We start from the raw sequence: 16,849 nt of genomic DNA on the forward strand, positions 1-16,849 counted from the left end.
TTAAATCCAAAAATTTTGACGTAAATTCACTTGCATGAGAATGATTCTACTACTAGCTTCAAAGTCTATCTCTTTTTTTTTTGAAAAGGAGTTTTGCTCTTGTTGCCCAGGCTGGAGTACAGTGGCGTGATCTCCGCCACCTCTGCCTCCCGGGTTCATGCGATTCTCCTGCCTCAGCCTCCCAAGTAGCTGGGATTACAGGCATGCACCACCACGCCCGGTTGATTTTGTATTTTTAGTAGAGATGGGGTTTCTCCATGTTGGTCAGGCTGGTCTCAAACTCCCAACCTCAGATAATCCGCCCGCCTGGGCCTCCCAAAGTACTGGGATTACAGGCATGAGCCACCACGTCCAGCATTCAAGGTCTACCTATTTAAGAACATGTGCTTCTCTGGTTTCTGATACACAGCAAAGTTAGAAATCTGGCTTTTACCTTTTGGTCAACATCAGGCCCATTTACTGCTCTACAGTTTCAACATTTTTACCAACCCACTTAGTGTGCACCCTTGCTACTCTACACAATCAAAGACTTGGATACAAGCTAAGAATAATTATTAGGGTTTGAGTTCTTTGAGGATAAGGATTGTATTTTGTTGGTCTCTTCAATCTACCCAGCAACCAATACAGTGCCTGGCAAATCTGTTAATGAATAAATGACCTGCAATCAAAATTAAACCCAAGGTTAATGTCTCTCTAGAACAACAATACTGGTTAAATCTCTTTGTGTAGGTAGTATTACAGTATTCCCATTTCAGAGATGAGGAAACTGAAGAACAGAGAGATTATAAGTTTCCCCTTTACAGAGAGTAAAGGTTGGGGCTAGAACTGAAACACAGATCTAACTTCAAAACGCTTCCCCACTCAATACCCCACCTCTCAAGTCTGCCTTATCCTTCACTTTCTTGCCTGAATTCCAGCTTCATTTTTATCTTGGTTAAAGTTGTCTTTTGCTTTTGTAGCATGACAGGATGTGCAGTTTGTTGCCCCAACAGCACAGTATGTCATTAAAAAAATAAAATGGCAAAGTGACACTAAGTAGGTTTGCTCCAAAAAGTTCAGTGGAGGACAGTCCATTAAGCAATTGTCGACACTGAGAACAAAGATGACTCCAATGAGACCACTGGCATATCTTCTAGGCCTCTGTTTTTACTGCTCTGTGTTTTAGGCACTTTTGCATTTTAATAAGACACTTTTGAACCACTTCTACCATCATCAAAAAAGACTGCAATTTAATTCAAGGTAAATCTAGTACAGATGCAAAAAAGTCAATCACTACAGCACAAATATGTAATTTAATTAGGAAAGAGACTATAATACAGTTACCCTTACACCTACTCAACACTTTTCATCTCCAAATAAAATGCTACAGCTCACTGCCTCGAATATATAACTCTAGATGGAAAAAAAAAATCTACTTTCCATCTGACCATCAGTGAGTCTACATTACCAGACTGCAAAGCACAGAGAAATTTGCTTTAACCTTAATATGTGGGAGCTACTATGAATAATAAAAAATACACTCTAACAGGGACCATCACTTCCTCCCTCCTCTCTTCACCTTACCCATCCCTATATATATATATATATATATATATTTATCTGTCTCTCTACAAAATTATCAAGTTCTCAGTGGAAAAAGACTTTGCCTCATTCATCTCTGTGGTGCTAGAGGTCAGAAAAGGGCCTGTCACATGGTAGATATAAATTAGCATTGCCAGAACAAATGAAATCAATCTATTAACCAATTTAATTCTGGATTTTGTACCAAACATAGTGAAGCATGGATTTATCACATCTCTTTTGGCACATCATAAAAACTCATGGTTAAGTCATTCATATTTCTTGGTTTTCCATGACAGTTTCCAGTTTGAATATCTTCTCTAATGTGTCCCAAAATATGGAGAATAGGCAGTCAAAAGGGTATTCTAATTTATAACTCATTTTAACATGACATTTTAGAGAAGATCTAGAGTCTGTTATTGAAATTTAAAGAACTGTCAGCATCTATTTATTCCAACTTTATCTGCTGATATGTTTGTTGAACTGAATACTAAATCTTATATCCAAAAAAACTGGAATTTTTCTGCACTCTAATGAAAACATCATGATACAAATGGTATCAGAAATACAAAAAATAAATTCTTAAGAAATATTTCTGTTCTCCGCATTTATATTACTGAAGAATAACTGATATTAATAAGAAGTGAGGCACTGCAAATCTTGAGGAATATTAGAAATCATTCAAAACAGACTGGTAGGTACCTTTCGAAATTTGACAATCTATGTTTCACATATATCAGATAAATCATGAGAGAATTGTTCTTTTTGTTTTGTTTTTTGAGATGGAGTCTCACTCTGGTCGCCCAGGCTGGAGTGCATGCAGTGGCACGATGTCGGCTTACTGCCAACTCAGCCTCCCCAGTTCAAGCAATTCTCCTGCCTTAGTCTCCCGCGTAGCTGGAACTACGTGCACTACCACACCTGGCTAACTTCTATATTTTTAGTAGAGATGGGGTTTCACCATGTTGGCCAGGCTGGTCTCGAACTCCTGACCTCAGGTGATCTGCCCACCTTGGCCTCCCAAAGTGCTGGGATTACAGGTGTGAACCACCTCACCCACCCGAAAATTATTATTTGAATGAGACCTAAGACACATATTACTGCAAAATTTATAATTAAACTTGCTTCTGGCTTTAATTATGACAAAAGTAATTCATATGAACAAAAAGATTTCACAACAAACGAGGAAAAACTGAAAAAGTCTTGTCTTCCCCATCTTGCTCTTAGGTCTCTCTCCCCAGAGAAAATCATTATTAAGTATTTCCTACTTATCCTCAGAAAATACTGGTGTATATGCAAGCACATATATGTGTGCATTATACATGTGAATGTGCATACAGGTTTCTCCTTTATTTATACTATACGTACTGTTTTACACCTTGGTATGGCTTTAAAATTAGAGTAAAACTCATTTGTAAGATATACAGAAAAGCCATGTTTTAGGGGTTATTCATGATTTATACAATTTATGGAACATCAGTGTATAATATCATGTCAAAGGGAGGTTTTCCCTACATGATCAGGTATACTGATTTAAATATTTCAAATATCACTCAAATCTTATTTGAATTCTGTTAAAAACTAATATAAATTATGACAGTCTGGGACTCAATAAATACCTGTTGAATGAATGACAACTATTAATAACGGTATTATGTTACAAAAGCCCTAATAGTTTTTGGATGCTATTAATCATCTCATTGAATGCTATCACATAAATAATGACTTCTATTTTTATTTCTATACGTTTTAGCAACAGGGTCTTGCTATGCTGCCCAAGTTGGAGTGTGGTGACACCATCATACCTCACTGCAGCCTCGAACTCCTGGGCTCAAGCAATCTTTCTGTCCCAGATTCCTGAGTATCTGCGACTACAGGCATGCGCCACCAAGCCTGGCTAATGTTTAAATTTTTTGTAGAGAAAGGGTCTCTCTGTTGCCAAGGCTGATCATGAACTCTGGGCCTCAAGTGATCTTCTCACCTCAGCCTTGCAAAGTGCTGGGATTATACGTGTGAGCCACAGCAGCCAGCCTACTTTTATTTCTTAAACACTGCATTAAGTATTAAGGTGATTCCGAGGTTACATGCATGAATTCTGGAATTGGCAGAAACTTGGAGAGAGGTATTAACTAATGAACTGGGAAAGATACATTCTGTGCTTTTTGCTTTTCCTAATTATTCAGGGTGAGCACATTTGACTTTGTATCCCTTGTTATCATCTACCTGTTTATCCAGCTGTAGCTTTATGTATATATTCATCTTTCATATAAAAATATCTTATTTTAGTAAGAACTATTTTAAATGATTTTAACTTTTGAATGCTGAAGTCTAAGATTTATTTACAGGATATGTAGCTTAATTTGAGAGGCAATATTATAAAGACGTGGCTATGAGTATAAATTGTAGAGTTGAAATTTGAATTCTGATTCTACCACTTATTAACTATATAACCTTCAGCAAGTATCATCTCCTCCATGCCTCATTCTCCTCTTCTGTAAAGTAAGGATAAGAGTTGTTGTGAGGGTTAAAGAACTGACCACAGTGTCTAATAAATAGCAAGCATTTAATCAATGATAGCTACTATTATTAAAATCAACAGGCCAGGCATGGTAGCTCATGCCTGTAACCCCAGCACTTTGGAAGGCCAAGGCAGGAGGACTGCTTGAGGCCAGGAGTTAAAGACCAGCTGGGCAATATGGCGAGACTCTATCTCTACAAAAAGTTAGCTGGGTGTGGTGTCACGCATCTGTGGTTCCAGCTACTCAGGTGGCTGAGGTGGGAAGACTGAGACCAGGAGGTCAACTCTGCAGTGAGCCATGTTTATGCCACTGCACTCTAGTCTGGGTGACAGAGCAAGACCCTGTCTCAGAAAAAAGAAAAGAAAAAAAAAAAAAAACTACAATTTTTTCTTACCAGGGTGGTGATTTTAAATATACCTGATTTGTTACTATCAGATCCCTAAAAAACAAGACAAAACAAAAACCCAACAAAAACAACACAAATCTATACATTTGCAGAAATGAGTAAATAAACATTTAATAAAAGCTCTCGGGGATAACAGAAAAATAAAAGCTTTACTAATCCTGGAGATGTAAAAGAAGTTGGAGAGGTAAAATGTACACATATCAATATGCATAAAGTACTACGAGTATTTTAAATTGACATAATTATATGTTTAAGGGTTCGAGGAATTATCAGAATAGAAAACCTTGTGAATAGAGTCATATTGAAAAATTGAAAAAAATACTTTTTTTTTTTTTTTTTGAGGTGGAGTCTCACTGTTGCCCAGGCTGGAGTGCACTGGTGCAATTGCGGCTGACTGCAACATCCGCCTCCTGGGTTCAAGCAATTCTCCTGCCTCAGCCTCCTGAGTAGCTGGGATTACAGGTGCCAGGCACCACACCCAGCTAACTGAATTGAGCAGGTTCCTTAATGTGGTCTAGGTTGAAGACAGCATCAAGGAAACAATGCAGGAATTAACACTCATCAAACAGGTGTGGGAGATTTGCAAAAAGATTAAAAAATAATATTAAGCAAAGCTAGGATGAAATAATGATAGTTTCAAGGCTAATCTGGGAGCCTGGATCTTGTACCCTTGAAACGACTATTTCTACAGGTCTTAGACAGATATCTGGCATCCAGCAGCAATATTTTCTCTGAAAGAATTTTCTGGAAAATGTGCACTTTACTTTTCCAGAGAAGTCTGAAAGCAGAGTTGTAATAGCTGAGGTGTAAGATAATGACAGTCTGTGAAATGGAGTGAAAAGAAATGGGGATTGAACAGATGGGTGAATAAATGAATGGTTAGATAGCTGGAAAGAAGAGACAGATCCAGAAGGGTCTCAGGTAGGAGAGTTGAAGGAAGAGTTACAGAGGGTGGCTGAACTGGGCCAAAAACATAAGGGACCAAGTTACAAACAAAGAAACAGCAGAATCACTACTTCCAAAACACAGATCCCTTATGTTCTGATCATGAAGAACCACTCTGCTTTGCCGGCCCAACTGGATATTTCATATCTGTGACATCGAGCAATGCCTCTAGAATGATTGCTACAGGTGTTTTTTGTTTTGTTTTTTTGACAGGGTCTTACTCTGTCACCCAGGCTGGAGAGCAGTGGTGTGAACATGGCTCAGTGCGGCCTCAATCTCAAAGGCTCAAGCAATCCTCCCATCTCAGTCTCCAGAGTAGCTGGGACTACAAGCACACACCACCATGCTTGGCTAATTTTTTATTTTTTTGTAGGGACGAAAGGTCTCCATATGTTGCCCAGGCTGGTCTTGAACTCTACAGGTGGTACATTCAATACCAAGCTGAGAACACCCTCTCAAACTGAGGTAAAATTTAACTAGTAGTAAAGTAATAAGACAGAATAAAAACAATACAGTTTTTATGTATACACTATATAAGTAATTGTTGTATAAATTTATTTATACAACAATAGCATGTGTCAAAAGATGATATAATTTTTGGCTGTACACAAATACTCCTGTATCTCCGATACTGTCAATTGTGGTGTTCTTGTTGAAATTTACTTCCTCAATTTCTAAGCTATAACTTCCCTAAGCAAATCCTTATATAGATGCTGGTGGCACCACCATATCATACTCATTTTTCTTTTATTTGAGACAGTCTCACTCTGTTGTCCAAGCTGGAGTGCAGTGGTGTGATCTCGGCTCACTGCAACCTCCGCCTTCCGAGTTCAAGAGATTCTCCTGTCTCAGCCTCCTGAGTAGCTGGGACTATAGGCGTGCACCACCATGCCTGGCTATTTTTTTCTATTTTTAGTAGAGACAGGTTTCACCATGTTGGCCAGGATGGTCTTGATCTCCTGACCTCGTGATCCGCCCCTCGGCCTCCCAAAGTGCTGGGATTACAGATGTGAGCCACCACGCCAGGCCCCTCTTTTTAAAATATATATGTAATATTTGTTGACATATAATTTACGTATCATAAAATTAACCTTTTAAAACTATACAATTTAATGGTCTGTGGTATAACCACAGTTGTGTGACCACTACCACTATATAACTTTAGAATATTTTCATCACCCCAGAAAGAAGCTCGGTATGTATTAGCACCGTCTCCCCACTCTCTTCTCTCCCCAACCCCTGGTGAGCACTAATTTATTTTCTGCTTCTATGGATTTGCCTATTCCTGACATTTCATACAAATGGAATCATATAAAATGTGGTCTTTTGTGACTTTTTTCACTTAGCGTAATGTTTTTAAGGTTCATCCATTGTACACCATGTGAATTTCATTCCTTATCATGGTCCGATATTTCATGGTATGTATATATCACATTTTGTTTATTCATGCATCAGTTGATAAACTGATTTGGGTTGTTACCACTTTATGGCTGCCCTATTCATTTTCCCCCCCATTCTTCTGAGCTTTCTTTGCCTTTCTTCCTAATTTTCCACTCCTGCCAAAGCAGGAAGTTAATGATGGTATTACCATCCTCAACTCAACTACAGATTTTCCTTCACTGTTCTAAGGAGGCCTTCTCCTTTACCAATCACAGCAGAGGTCACCTTGAGATGTGTCTACTGTGAAGATAAATGACATAATGGGTACAAAAACTTTTAATCAACATTATACATGCAAACGGCCTATCCTAAGGGATTTTCCACCATCTCATGTCCCAGATTTTATTAAAAACATTTCAGAAGGTATCAACTCCTTGAGCTTCCTTTCTTTGGAAGATAAATTCCTCAGGGCAAAGATCATGATATCCAACTCTTCTGTGTATTAGCAGAGTTCAAAGGGAACATTTGGGCTCTTAATACAAGCTGAAAATAGAATTATCAATATTATTTAACATTCAGAGTGCTTAATATGTGTCAGATGTTGTGCTAAGTACTTTACATACATCACATTTTATCTTTACAATTCTATAATGTAAATACTATTATTATCTTCATTTTTCTAGATGAGAAACAGACTCAAAGAGGTTAGGAAATTCACCCATGGTCACAGAGATAGACAAGGAAAAAGGGTAAGACTCAGGAGTGTTTGATGCTGTTGCTTTGATCTTACCACTAAATTTTACTGCCAGTGTTTAATCAAATACATGAAAAACTACATTCAGATCCTATGCCTGTGTAGGCACAGGCATACTTTGAAGATATTGTGGGTTTGTTTCCAGATCATGGCAATGAAGTTAATATTGCAATAAAGCGAGTCACAAATTTTTGGTTTCCCAGTGCGTATAAAAGTTATGTTTCTACTAAACTGTAGTCTATTAAGTGTGAAATAGCATTATGTCTAAAAATAATGCATATTATCTGAATTAAATAATACTTTATTGCTAAAAAATACTAATGATCATCTCAGCCCTCAGCAAGGTGTAATCTTTTTGTTGGTGGAGGTTCTTACCTTGATGATGATGGCTGCTGCCCTCATCAGGATGGTGGTTGCTGAGGCATGAGAGTGGCTGTGGCAATTTCTTAAAATAAGACAACAATGAAGTTTGCTCCAACACTTGACTGCTCCTTTCATGAATGATTTCTCTGTATCATGTGATACTATTTGATAGCATTTTACCCAATCCTCTCATACCCTTCCGCTGTTTTATCAACTAAGTTTATGTAACATTCTAAATCCTTTGTTGTCATGTCTATAATGTTCACAGTATCCTCAACAGGAATAGATTCCAACTCAAGAAACCATTTTCTTTGCTTACCCATGAAGAAGCAACTCCTTATCCATTCAAGTTTTATCATGAGATTGCAGTAACTGAGTCACATTTTCAGGCTTTAGTTCTATGTTTTTGTTTTCTTAGAGATGGGGTCTCACTATGTTGCCCAGGCTAGTCTCAAGCTCCTGGCCTCAAGCAATCCTCCTGCCTCAGCCTCCCAAATGCTGAGATTATAGGCACATGCCACCATGCCTAGCCAGGCTCCACTTCTAATTCTAGTTATTTTGCTATTTCCATCACATCTGCACTTACTTCTTCTACTGAAGTCTTGAGCCCCTCAAAGTTGTCCATGAAGGTTAGAATCAACTTCTTCCAAATGCTTATTAATGTTGATATATTAACCTCCTTGTCCCATGAATTACAATTTTTTTTTTAAGAGACAGGAATCTTGCTGAGGTGTCTCCTCTTTTGTGCAGATGAACTTTGAAGTTCTGAGCTCAAATGATCATCCCACTTCAGCCTCTTGAGTAGCTGGGACTACAGGCGTGCGCCACTGCACCCACAAATGTTTTTAATGGCATCTAGAATGCTGAAATTATTTTGGCTATTTGGTGGAGAATAAATTTGAAGTAGGGGCAAAACTGGAGCCAGGGAAATGACAAGCATCCACACATAAGTGCAGGGCTAACTAAGGCAGAAGAAGGAAATGAAGAGGAAGGAACAAATGCCACGAACAAATCAGATTTCCAGGAGGTTTTTAGTTTGCCCAGATCCATCACAGGAATCACTATCTATGGCAGCTATAGACATACAAAATGTACTTATTAAATAACAAGGCTTGAAAGTCAAAATTACTCTTTGATCTCAGGTTACTAGGTGTGTTGCCAATGTGCAGTAGTATTTTGAAAGGAATCTTGCTATCTGGGCAGTAGGTCTCTACAGTAGGCTTATAAGAGTCGGTAAGCCACACTGCAAACAGATGTGTCATCATCCAGGCTTTGTGGCTCCATTTATAGAGCATAGGAAGAATAGATTTAGCAGAATTCTTAAGGGCCTTAGGACTTTCCATATGGTAAATGAGCACTGGCTTCAAACAGAAGTCACCGGCTGCATAAGCCCCTAATGAGAGTCAGCCTGTCTTTTGTAGCTTTAATGCCAGGTATTGACTTCTCCCCTTCTCTTTCACTGTGAAAGTGCTGGATGGGGCCAGGCGCAGTGGCTCACTCCTATAATCCCAGCATTTTGGGAGGCCAAGGTGGGCAGATCATGCGGTCAAGAGATTGAGACCATCCTGGCCAACATGGTGAAACCCTGTCTCTACTAAAAATACAAAAATTAGCTGGGTGTGGTGATGCACATCTGTAGTTCCAGCTACTCAGGAGGCTGAGGCAGAAGAATCGCTTGAACCCGGGAGGCGGAGGTTGCAGTGAGCCAAGATGGTGCCACTGCACTCCAGGCTGGAGACAGAGCAAGACTCTGTCTTAAAAAAAAAAAAAGAAAGTAGGTAGATGGTTTCTTCTAACATAAGGCGGTTTCATCTACAATATCAGTATCTGTTGGTTTTCAACAAATATTGAAAATGTGTAATTTAGGGTAGCCACTATCATCAATTATCTTAGCTAGATCATCTGGATAACTTCCTGTGGCTTCTCTATCACCACTTGCTGCTTCTACCTTGCACTTTTACGTTATGATGACATCTTTCCTCAATCTCATGAGCCAAGCTCTGCTAGCTTCAAACTTTTCTTCTGCAGCTTCCTCACCTCACTCAGTCTTCACAGAACTGAAGAGACTTAGGGCACTGTTTTGGATGAGGCTTTGACTTAAGGGAATGTTGTGGCTGGTTTGATCTATCCAGACCACTGAAACTTTCTCCATGTCAGCAAAAAGGCTGTTTTGCTTTTGTATCATTTGTGTGATCACTGGAGTAGCACTTTAAACTTCCTTCAAGAACTTTTCCTTTGCATTCACAACTTTACTGTCTCAAGGGGCCTAGCTTTCACTCTGTCTCAGCTTTCGATACATATTCCTCACTAAGCTTAATCATTTCTAGCTTTTAATTTCAAGCGGGAGACGTATGACTCTTCCTTTCACTTGAACACTTAGAAGTCACTGCAGGGTTATTAATACCCTAATTTCAATATTGTTGTATCTCAGGAAATAAGAAGGCCCAAGAAGAGGGAGGGAGAGAGATGGAAGAACTGCCGGTTGGTGGAGCAGTCAGAACATACATATTTCTCGATCAAGTTGGCCGTCTTACATGGTTTGTGGTGCCCCAAAACAATTACAACAGTAACATCAAAGATCACTGATCACAGATCACTATAACACCTATAATAATGAAAGGTCTGAAATACTGTGAGAATTATCAAAATGTGACAGAGACAGGAAGTGAGCACATGCTGTTGGAAAATGGCATTAACAGGCTTTCTCAACACAGAGTTACCACAAACCTTCAATTTGTAAAAAAAACCGTATCAGTGAAAGCACAATAAAGAGAAGTGCAATAAAATGAGGTATGCCCGTATACTCAGAAGACTCCTACTATATGGCGCTTTTGAAATAATCTCCAGGCTTCTAGAACACTGGTGGATTACTGTAGCTGACGATGCAGAGGTATGAGAGGATATGGATACCAGAAGACCTGGTGGTAAAACTTGAGAAGTTTAGAGTTCATCTTGCAGGATATTTCCCCCAATCCTTCACAGCATCCTGAAGAGCTTAAAAAGACGTGAAAGAGGAGTGACAAAGCTAGATCTGTATTTTTAAAAGATGATTTCGGCCACTTGGTGGAGAACAATTTCAAGTGGGGGCAAAACTGGGACCAAGGAAATGACAAGCATCCACACCTAAGTGCAGGGATAAGGCAGGGGAAGAAGGAAATGGAGAGGAGGGAACAAATGTCACAAATACATTAGATAAAACCAGGGCACCGGCCAGGCGTGGTGGCTCACACCTGTAATCCCAGCACTTTGGGAGGCTGAGCCGGGTGGATCACAAGGTCAGGAGTTTGAGATCAGCCTGACAAACATGGTGAAATCCTGTCTCTACTAAAAATACAAAAATTATCCGGGCGTGGTGGTGCGCACCTGTAATCCCAGCTACTCAGGGGGCTGAGGGAGGAGAATCACTTGAACCTGGGAGGCGGAAGGTTGCAGTGAGCTGAGATCACACCACCGCACTCCAGCCTGGGCAACAGAGTGAGACTCTATCTTGTGGGGGGAAAAACAAAAACAAAAACAGGGCACCTTGTGAAATGACTGGATGGGAAAAAAGGGGACTCAAAAGGGAGGTTCGTCAACAGTGGCTTCAGGGTTTTAGTTTAATTAAAGCCAGTGTATAACCTGAGATGAAAGAATAGGTTTAGAGGAATAGGTGACTGGTTTAGTATTGGATGTACTGAATTTGAGATGACTCTGCAAGTGGAGATATTTGTCAGATAATTGGAAATTTAAGATTGAAGTTTAGAGGAGGAGTTGGGACAGAGATAAAAATTTGGAAATCCTACTTTGGCCTCCCAAAATGTGGGGATTACAGGCATGAGCCACTACGCCCAGCTGATGGAACTGTTTTATATTTTGACTGGTGTGATTACATGGCTTTCTGTGCTAGTCAAAACTCACAGAAATGAATGCTAGCTAACAAGGGTGAATTTTACTGCATATAAATTACACTCGACCTAACTTAAAAGAGAGAGAGAAAGAGACCAATAGTGGTAAAATGAGGCAAAAAGACTAGGAAGATAAATGTGTGTCTACTGATGACCCTGCTGAGGAAGATTCCACTAGCATATTAGGAGCATAAATCAGACTATATGTTAGTTGAATAGTGAAAAGAATAGTAGAAGACATGGTAGACTATTCTTAAACAGTTTGGGTCAGAAGAAAAAGATACCATTTAAGTGGCAGCTAAATGGTTATATGGGACTCAGAGAGCGTCTCTGGCATGAGACAGACAATAAGAAGGTGGTAGAGAGGCAGTGAATACATACGAGACTGTAAGAGACAACTAAGAGAGTCTGATGAAGGTTTCAATATAGCCAGGTTTGTAAGGGGGCAGAAAGTTAAAAAAAAGGCGTACCCAGTGTCCTCAATGTTCTCAATAAAGAAGGAGACGAGGTCATGTGCTGCAGGTGAGTAGCACTGGGCAGAGTAAAGGATTTTCAACAGAAAAACCATAAAAATAATGGTTGGGATGGACAGTGTGAATTTGTAGTTGCATTCACACCACTGTAAGTGGTGTGATCTTCTCCAGTAGTGCTCTGCCTACTGGAGTTTAATAGACAAAGTAGGAGTTATAGTACTGATTCAAGGGTTTTGATAGGTATGTTTTTCAAAAGGAAAAAGAGGAAAATCACAGATTTTGTACAGGGTAGCTCAAATAATCCCCCTCGTCTTTGCTCAAATCTTACCTCCTACTGAGGCCTATGACTCTGATCATATTATTTAAATACTACAACCTGCTGCCCCTTTGCATTCCTCACCCTGTTTTATTATTTTTACAGCACTTAAAACTTCCTAATACATCACTAGGGCAGGGATCTTTGTATTACTCATTCATAAATCTCAAGTGCATGGAACAATGACTGACACGCAGTAGGCCTTCAGTAACTACTGTGGTTCAAACAGGTGGGCTTTCATGTTTCACTATGAACCTAGGTCACAAGCATAAAGTATAACTGTCAAATCCTGAGGTAATTTTGTATTGACATACCATCTCTGAAAGATTAATAGAAACATGACGTATAAAGGAAGGGGCTGTAATTCTCCTGTGAGCCTGAGAAAGCTGATTTACCATTCTGAGGCTTATTTTTGTCATCAGCAAAACAGAAATAACTATATCCAGGAATAACTGTTCAAATCACAAGAATAATGCTTGAAATGCCTGGGAAAGCCTTTGGAAACAGAAAAATGTACAATAATTTTTATTATGATTGTGACTAAATTACCAAGTATTTTAATACAGTAATAGAAAATGAAGAAAAGAAATATATTGAAGGAAATGTATTTTGGGCATTTTTATGCATTAGTAGAGAGAATTATCTTTTTTCTTAATAAAGTCTTACTAAACTTATCTTCCTTATTTTGGCATACTTGTGCTTTTATTTTTTAATTCTAAATTTTTAAGGATACATAATAGTCATACGTATTTGTGGGGTACATGTGATATTTTGATAAAAGCACATAATGTGTAATGACCAAATCAGGGTTATTGGGGTATCCATCACCTCAAGTGTTTATCATTTCTTTGTGTTAGGAACATGGAAAGTTATCTTTTCCAAGGCAATCAGGAAAAGTTCTCAAGGCAACTGTGTGCAAGGTAATGATGGATATTAGAGAAAGGGAAAACTTATAGTAAGACTAGGTTTTCCTGTAGAGGTTTTCTTTAAAAGACTGAGGGAGCACAGCTCTAGGCTGACTGAATTACCTTCTCTGGAAGCAGGTCAGTACAATAGTCCTTTGTCATGGAGGAGGATTAGTTACTAAATGTGGGGAAAAGGGAGCTACATTTTGAACAAAGTATAACTACTCAGAAAGATGTAGAACTAAGTTAATACCCAATGACTGAGACTTTAGGGCTCATGATGAAAGACATGAACTACTGTAAAAAATGGGGAAATCTATCCCACATAAAGAGGCAAGGAAGAACTACGTAAGGGACTTGCCAACAGGCTCAACTAACAGGTGTCTGGGCTCATTCTGCAGTATATAAAAGAATTTGACCAGCATCAGTATTTTCCAAGGAATGCCTAAGAGTTTACTGGGGAGGGAAACAAGAAAATAGGAATGGGATGGCAGAAACATACCTTTTAGGCAGCTTTGTTGGAAACAGTTTACAAACAAGGTGGAGAAAACCTTTATTTATCCCTAAGGATCACTCAGACTCAAGCCTCTGAAAACTGAAGCCAATGGTCCTTGCTTTAAGGATCACTCTGCTTGTTTTGGTAGATGACAAAGAACCAGGAATGTGTAAGGAGTCCTGTTTCCATGTTTCCAGAACACGTTTCTGTAGAAGCTAAATTATAAGGATGCATAGTAGTATAGTGATTAGGCCAACAGGATACTCAAACCATTGGCAATCTACTTTTGGCCCCAGCGACTAAATCTTCCAGAGATATTTCAAATATATTTTAGAATATGTAAGTTGAGCAAAGGTTAGAATAAATTTTATTATTTAAAAGATTAGTCATTTTTAGTTTAATCTAGGAAAACTGATAGACTTTTATATCTCTGGTTTTATGTTTGCTATGTTTATTTCTTTGAAAGTACTCTGAATACTCTCACAGTTGAGAATAAAGCAAGGGTTGTTATTAAAATATTTTTCTTGCACTGAAGTATGCTCCCTTTACACTTCAGTAAGTCTAAACTAAAAGAGAAAGCAGCAACTTGATTGGCTACATGGATCAGTATTTTGTTAACATTACCAAAACATATAATCGTATCTCCATTTGAGAAATAAACTTCCTATGTTATATTCTACAGAATCTGGAAACCCTTCTACATCCTTAGCTGAGCTTACGAGAATATAAGGTAAACTACAGGTCAGTGGCTGATGCCATCCTTACATTCCTGGGGGTGTAGAAGGGTGTGCCAGTCTCTATAACCAATGAATTTGTATTTTTAACACCCATAAGAAAAGAGAGATCTTGGATCCCTGCAAAGTGGGAACCTGGAACTGAGATGCTCACATAAAGCTCTGAGACTCCCAAATGGGTGACATGCTCAGTGAAAAGATAGCTTAAAAAAGAGAGAGAGGGAATAAACCACTGAACCAACACAGTGATGATGAGAAAGGACGTTGTTTCAACTGGATGGAGAGAAGATTGCTGTTACCCTGAAAATTAGTATCCAAGCCATACGGTATGGCTGTCCTTAGGCTTTGGGATAGAACTGTAGCTTTAGGACATTAAACCCAGATTTAGTTCTAACAAACATTAAACCCAGATTTAGTTCCAGCAAATGCTTTCCCCAAGACATGCAGCAGATAAAGTAAACACAAATCTGCTTTAGAATAACTTGCCATCAATCTACATCCAGGAAAATTTATCTGGATAAGTTCATAAAACAAACTTACAAAATATACATTAAAAATGTACTATAAGCAAGAGCCAAAAAAACAAAATAAATAGAAAAATTAGAAATCTCCCTCTGCCTAAGAAAATTTAAATAATGGTTTTATATCTGATACAGGTAAAAATAATAAAATAAAAAAGTCACAATTCTTTTAAAAAGTGGGAAAGTTAATGTTACATACTATACATCATATACATTCCTAAAATTGTAGAAAACAAACTCCTGGATGATTAATGGGGAATGCTTTCCCACAAGTTCAAAACACTCCTTTTTCCTCCCACCAGATACAGAGAATAAACAATAAAAATTCCCAAGACTTTAATATATCATCCAATTAATATCTAGTTTTATGCATTTAATTACTAAAGTGACGGTGATATTAAAAGTGTGGCCAATAACTGAGGCTTTTCAGAGTACACTGAAGATATATACACACCAAATTCTAATTTTACAGAGCTTGTTCTTCAATCCGAAAACAACTGATGCTTTCTTTTTTTTTTTAAGATGGGGTCTTGCTCAGTTGCCTAGGCTGGAGTGAAGTGGCGCGATGTTGGATCACTGCAGCCTCCATCTCCCAAGTTCAAGCAATTCTCCCACCTCAGCCTCCAGAATAGCTGGGATTACAGGCGCATCACCACTCCTGGGTAATTTTTGTATTTTTAGTAGATACGGGGTTTCACCATGTTGGCCAGGCTGGTCCCAAACTCGTGACCTCAGGTGATCCACCCTCCTCAGCCTCCCAAAGTGCTGGGATTACAGGCATGAGCCACCGCGCCCGGCCTCAACTGATGCATTTTTATTCACTCAGAAATATGATCTAGAATAGTTACAAGAAAATGTTTTGCAGCAGAACTAAAAGATACCATATCCCTTATGTTATAACTTTACTGCTTTAACCAACTATCTCTATACCAACTGATATGTTATTTATGTATCAGGTTTCTGAAGCCAGCTTTGAGGTGTTTCATCCTCAGGCAGAGACAAGTAAAAACTATTCTCAAAAGTCACCACCAAAAGACTCATAGGCAAACCAGACTGTTTTGGTGTTACAATTTATTAACTTCTCAAAGTAAACGGCTGTTATGATTTACTAACTTCTCAAAGTAAACAAGGTATAATAAGTGAATATTATGTGAATAAGTGCAAATAAATTATAGTCATTAAGCATATGACCACGTCAGGTGGATATACTTAAAGACTGGAGGTAATTTTAATTTTCATTGTTAACTTTTGTGACAAAACCATTAAAAAATATTCGGACAGAAATGAATGGGTCAGAAATGCTTCTGAGGCTTTATAATTTACAAACTGCTGGCCAGGTGTGGTGGCTCATGCCTGTAATCCCAGCACTTTGGGAGGCTGAGGCGGGCGGATCACAAGGTCAGTAGTTCGAGACCAGCCTGACCAACAAGGTGAAACCCCGTCTCTACTAAAAATACAAAAATAAGCCAGGCGTGGTGGCACACGCCTATAATCCCAGCTACTCAGGAGGCTGAGGCAGGAGAATTGCTTGAACCTGGGAGCCAGAGGTTGCAGTGAGCCGAGATTGCACCACTGCACTCCAGCCCGGGCGAT

At 38.8% G+C, this 16,849-nt stretch overlaps 1 protein-coding gene and 1 long non-coding RNA gene across 64 annotated transcripts in view; one reads left to right on the forward strand and one right to left on the reverse strand.

Annotated features, from left to right (window-relative positions):
- LOC105376829 (uncharacterized) overlaps window positions 1–10,397 on the forward strand; it is a 13,366-nt gene extending 2,969 nt beyond the window's left edge. Inside the window, exons 1-4 of one of the 2 annotated variants that reach the window (XR_947038.3) lie at window positions 4,896–5,054; window positions 5,804–5,895; window positions 7,494–7,559; window positions 10,359–10,397. This is a non-coding gene — a long non-coding RNA (uncharacterized LOC105376829). Of the gene's footprint in view, window positions 1–4,895; window positions 5,055–5,803; window positions 5,896–7,493; window positions 7,560–10,358 lie in introns of those variants that run through there. The other variant, XR_947039.3, reaches the window with a different exon arrangement.
- EIF4G3 (eukaryotic translation initiation factor 4 gamma 3) overlaps window positions 1–16,849 on the reverse strand; it is a 370,606-nt gene that overhangs the window by 115,948 nt on the left and 237,809 nt on the right. The window lies entirely within an intron of this gene.

Source organism: Homo sapiens, chromosome 1, assembly GCF_000001405.40.
Source record: "Homo sapiens chromosome 1, GRCh38.p14 Primary Assembly".
NCBI classification, from domain to species: Eukaryota; Metazoa; Chordata; class Mammalia; order Primates; family Hominidae; genus Homo; species Homo sapiens.